Source organism: Homo sapiens, chromosome 9 (genome assembly GCF_000001405.40).
Source record: "Homo sapiens chromosome 9, GRCh38.p14 Primary Assembly".
Taxonomy (NCBI): Eukaryota; Metazoa; Chordata; class Mammalia; order Primates; family Hominidae; genus Homo; species Homo sapiens.
Window position 1 is genome coordinate 41,816,777 of NC_000009.12, and position 5,121 is coordinate 41,821,897.

Genomic DNA, 5,121 nt, shown 5'->3' on the forward strand with positions numbered 1-5,121 from the left:
AGCAACTGTGGCATCACGGTGCAGGGGTTGGGGGTGGGGGATGCTTGCCCCCTCCCGCACCCCTGTGTCTTTGTGTGCATTTGTGCCGGTGGCGGTGTTAGCATGGGAGTGAAGCACTGGTGAGCACAGGACTGTGTGAGTTCTCCTTGCACATTCACGTGGGTGGTCGTAGCCGCTCAGAACAGGGGTGGGTCCTCTGTTCTCGGTGCCTATTGTCACACTGGTGGTAGTGTCGGTGCAGGGGCAGGGCGTTGGCAGGGGCAGGGCTGGCGGGCTTCATGCCCACTCATCAATGCTCCAACAGTAATGGCAGTATGGTGGGGGGTCGAGAGGGTGAAGTGCACTCAGGATGGCAGCAGTAGCATGGCACACACACTGTGGCAGGAAAGGGGAGGCAAGGTCCACACACACACACATGCACTGGCAAAACGATGTGGGGGATGGCCGTGGGCTAGTGCATGCAGGCAAAGTGGCACGGGGAGACTGCAGTGGGGGCAGGGCACAGTTAGGCTGATGTGTGTACATGGGGGCCACTCTGCAGCAGATCTCTGCTGGTCAGGCACAGTCAGCCAGCACAGGAACTATGATGCAGGTCCTCAGGAGGTAGCCTCCACTGCACCCCGCTGTGAAGCTGCACTGCAAGCAGGTGTGGCCAGGCTGGGGCCCCAGGAGGGGTGAGCAGACTGAAGGATGCTCAGGTCAGACTGGCCCTGTCTCAGGGGCAAGACTGCCCTGCAGAGTTCAGGTCTGACAGTTGCCCTAGGGCTGAAGTCTCCTATGAGAACAAGTCTAGCCTAGGGCAATGGGTGTCCCTGACCATTCTCCACTACAGATGCTCGCACACAAAACCTTCTGGGCTTTGCACAGTCTGGAGTTCTACCATTAACACTTTATAAGCAGGTCTTCCTGACAACTCAAGTGTCCCTGGTGGTTGTAGGGTCTCCTCCTGTCAGGAATTCAGGGACCTGTGACAAGAGGAGGTTGCCCCTTGCCTGTTCAACTCACCTCTCCTCCAGGAGATTTTGGGGACCTGGAATGAGTCCTGGTGCACGATTGCCCCTTGCAGGGTTCCCGGCTTCCTCCCCCTTCAGCCCAACATCTGTGTCTTCCCTCTGTCTGCTCTCAAAGCCTTCCCTCTGAAGATCTTCCAGGAGCACACCAGTCTTCTCAATGTCCTGGTCCCTTGGTGGGAGCTGTTCCTCCTGGCTGTGTCTAGTCAGCCATCTTCCCTCATATTTTCTTCACACAAGTTAACAATGATTATTTTCACATTGCAATTTCATCTATTAATTGACATTTAAGAGAAAACAAATCAGTGTGATAATTTGCTAATATTTCTCCCAATGAGCACATATGTTTTGTTGTTTCCTTCAACAAAGACAGTGATAGCTCCACATCATTGTTCTGATTTTATCAGATCTATAGGAGGAAAACTCAAACTGTGATGAAGGCATTCAGTGAAGATCTAAATAAATGGAGAGTTGTTCTAAGTATATGGATAGAAAGACTCAATATTGTGAAGATGTCAGTTCTTTCAAATTTCATCTATACATTAAAAGCAATCCCAATAGAAATCCCAGCAAGTTATCTAGTGGGTATTGACAAACTGATTCCAAAGTTTATATAAAAAGGCAAAAGATCCAGATTAGCCAACAAATGTTAAAGAAGAACAAGTTTGAAAGTCTTACACTGTATAGCTTCAAAATCTATGATAAAGTTATAGTGATCAAGACAGTGTGGTATTGGTGAAAGAATAAAAACATAGATCAATGGAACATACCAGCGGGCCAAAAAATAGACCCACATGTACGTAGTGAACTGATCTCTGACACAGAAGCAAGGGCAATTCAAAAGAAAAGGTAGTCTTCTCAACAAATGGTGGTAGAATAACTGGTCATCCAACATGCAAAAATATAAATCTATACACAGACTTTACACCTGTCACAAAAATTAAGTCAAAATGGATCATAGACCTAAATGTAAAGTGCAAAACTATAAAACTTCTAGAAGACAACATAGGAAAATGTCTAGTTGACCTTGATTTTGGTTATGACCTTAGGTACAACATCAAAATGCATGATTCATCAAGAAAAATGGATAAGCAGGACTTCATTAAAATTAAAACTTCCATTCTGTGTAAGACACTGTTAAGACAATAAAAAGACAAACCAAAGATTGGGAGAAAATCTTTGTATAACACATATCCAATAGAAGACTAGTATCCAGAATACGTAAAGAATCCTCAAAATTCAACAAGAAGAAAACAAACAACAAAATGAGTAAAAAATCTGAACAAACATCTCACCCCAGAAGATATGCAGAATGATAAGCATATGAGAAGATGCTCCACATCATATGTCATTGGAGAAATGCAAATTGAGATAACAATGAGATACTACTACACACCAATTAGAATGGCGACATTCAAAATACTGACAACACCAAATGCTGGGGAGGATATGAGTCAACAGGAACTCCCATCCATTGTCGACAGGAATGCAATATAGTATAGCCACTTTAGATGACAGTTTGACAGTATCTTTCTTTCTTTTTTCAGACGGAGTCTTGCTCTATTGCCAGGTTGGAGTGCAGTGGCGCGATCTCAGCTCACTGCAACCTCCGCCTCCTGGATTCAAGCAATTCTCCTGCTTCAGCCTCCCGAGTAGCTGAGACTACAGGTGCGTGCCACCATGCCCAGCTAATTTTTGTATTTTTAGTAGAGATGGGATTTCACCATGGTGGCCAGGATGGTCTCGACATCTTGACCTCGTGATCCACCTGCCTGGGCCTCCCAGAGTGCTGGGATTACAGGCGTGAGCCACCACGCCAGGCCGACAGTACCTTACAAAACTAAACATACTCTTACCACATGTTTCAGCAATTGCAGTCCTTGGTACTTACCCAAAGAGATTGAAAACAAAGATATGTTCAACAAAAACTTGCACACAGATGGTTATAGCAGCTTTGTCCATAATTGCCAAGACTTGGAAGATGACTTTTAATAGCTAAATGGATAAATAACCTGTGGTACATTCAGACAACCAAATATTATGCAGTGATAAATAGAAATGAGCTAGCAGAGACATGTAAAGACATTGAGGAAACTTAGATATAAGTTGTTAAGTGAAAGAAGTCAATCCAAAAAGGCTACATACTTTAGGACCTCTGGGGGAAGGGAGGGATGAATAGGTGGAGCAGAGAGGATTTTTTTGGGTGGTGAAAGTATTCTGTATGATACTGTAATGATGGATATGTGTCATTGTGTGTTTCTCATAACCTATAGAATGTAAAATACAAAGAGTGATCCCTAATGTAAACTACGGTCTTAATAATAGTGTATTAGTATTGGCTCATCAATTGTAACAAATGTACCAGGAGATGTTAATAGTAGGGGAAATTCCTGCAAGAATTGCCCACTCCCACCCTCTCATTTCACAGATGAAGTCCCGTGACCCAGAAGTGCAAAGCCATCTGTTGCCGCTCCCATCCTATTGGAGACATAGCCCTGACTCTTCCTCTGAGTTGGGGTCCAGGGCTCTTTCTCTTCCTCTAAATAGCCACCTCAGCAGAGCCTCCTGGCAAGTAGGATTTAGTCTACACCAGGCTTCCTGCATGCCACTATTTACTTTCCTAATGAAGACAGAAAACGAGGTGTGAAGGCAGCAGCATGTTAGATTTTTCAGTTCTAATGGGAAGAATAAAAAACTCACTATGATGCACTAAAGAGCCATTAGTGAAAACAGTTTTAAGTCTCTACCTCAATTCCCAAGAAAGCTGATGGAGAAAAACGGCAGCTTCAACATTTGCACTTTGACTTGCCTCTCTCCATGGGAACTTCAGATTTCCTTCCTACAGCTAACACAATCCTAAATTTCTAGTGTGGCTTTCAGGGATTACCAAAGACAGAATGTTGAATGCATTGTATGGTTTCTGTCTTCAGTCATAGGAACCATTCTTTGCTCTAGGAGTAGCAATGAGATCCAAATCCAGGAAATATGGCAATATCTTCGATTTACATCATTAGCCCTCAGTATTATTTTTTTTTTTTGAGACTAGAAGCAGAAGGCTGCTTCATGCCTGGCTGCCTATCAAAAGAAGCAATTTTCATAAATCTATAGCTCTGAACAATGAAAACGGTTCCTTTTACCTCTGCTGAATCAGTGTCTGGAGCATCAGGGACAGGGGAAAAGTTCTAACATTAGCTTTTTTCTTCTACCTGCTGCTAATCAGAGTGCAAGCATGAAGTTGTATTCTTCTCAGGGCCAGTAAAGCAGGGAAAGAAATCACTAGTGCTCCTCTCCAGTCTGAAGATCAAATAAACAGCCTTTTTTATCATCCAGCTGCTAGGGGTATGGCTTGAGCTACAGACAGCTCATTAGAAAGAACCACAAAGTTAGAAATTTGGCCTTTGGGGGGAAAATGTCATTCTTCAAATTCCCTGTCTTGTATTCTTTAACTAAGTACATATCCTTTTTAGGGGCCAGATGGGATGGGGAGACCTGTTTTGAACCTTAAGACAATAATAAGAGCTTAGATATTTACTGAAGGAATGAAATGGTTTGTCTGAAAGTTGCCCAGTTTCACAACTGTTGTTCCATAAAACCAAAGAGAACGATGCTTGCCACGTGGGTAAAAGCTGACTTTAGTTGACGTCTCTTCCTTCATTCTTTTTCAGCTCACACATCCTCCCCATTCTCTGAGTTCCCACAAAGACTGTTATTGCTGGGGCTCATAAAATTATACTCCAAAGTATGATGCTTTGGCATCCAGAGTGCTTTGAACTATAGGAGATTGAAGGCCCCAGAAGCCAAGTTTCCCTCTGACCTCCTGCCTCCCTGTCTCCCACCCCCTACTTTTCCCCTGAAGTGAGTCCTGGAAACCAGAATTCTTCTTGCCCAAAGCAAGCCGTGACACCCTGGAAATATCACTCTAACCTTCCTTGCCTTTCCGTGTGGCAGCTGGCCATGAAGAAATTCTCTGACCTACCTTGTTTGATAGCAGATCACAAGACCCTGGTTCCAGAGCGGTCCTGCTTTACACCGAAGGAAAGGAATGTCATACAGAAAGGCCAAGAAGAATCTGAAGAGATGTCCAATCACCTTTTCACGTGGCTGCCCATTC

General features: G+C 44.2%; 1 annotated feature.

The window, feature by feature from the left end:
* Positions 381–881: an enhancer, noted in NCBI's record as "H3K4me1 hESC enhancer chr9:40108296-40108796 (GRCh37/hg19 assembly coordinates)". NCBI's record gives its function as "activates a minimal SCP1, AML or CMV promoter by ChIP-STARR-seq in naive H9 embryonic stem cells {active_cell/tissue: H9 hESC(naive)}" and the evidence as "EXISTENCE:reporter gene assay evidence [ECO:0000049][PMID:30033119]".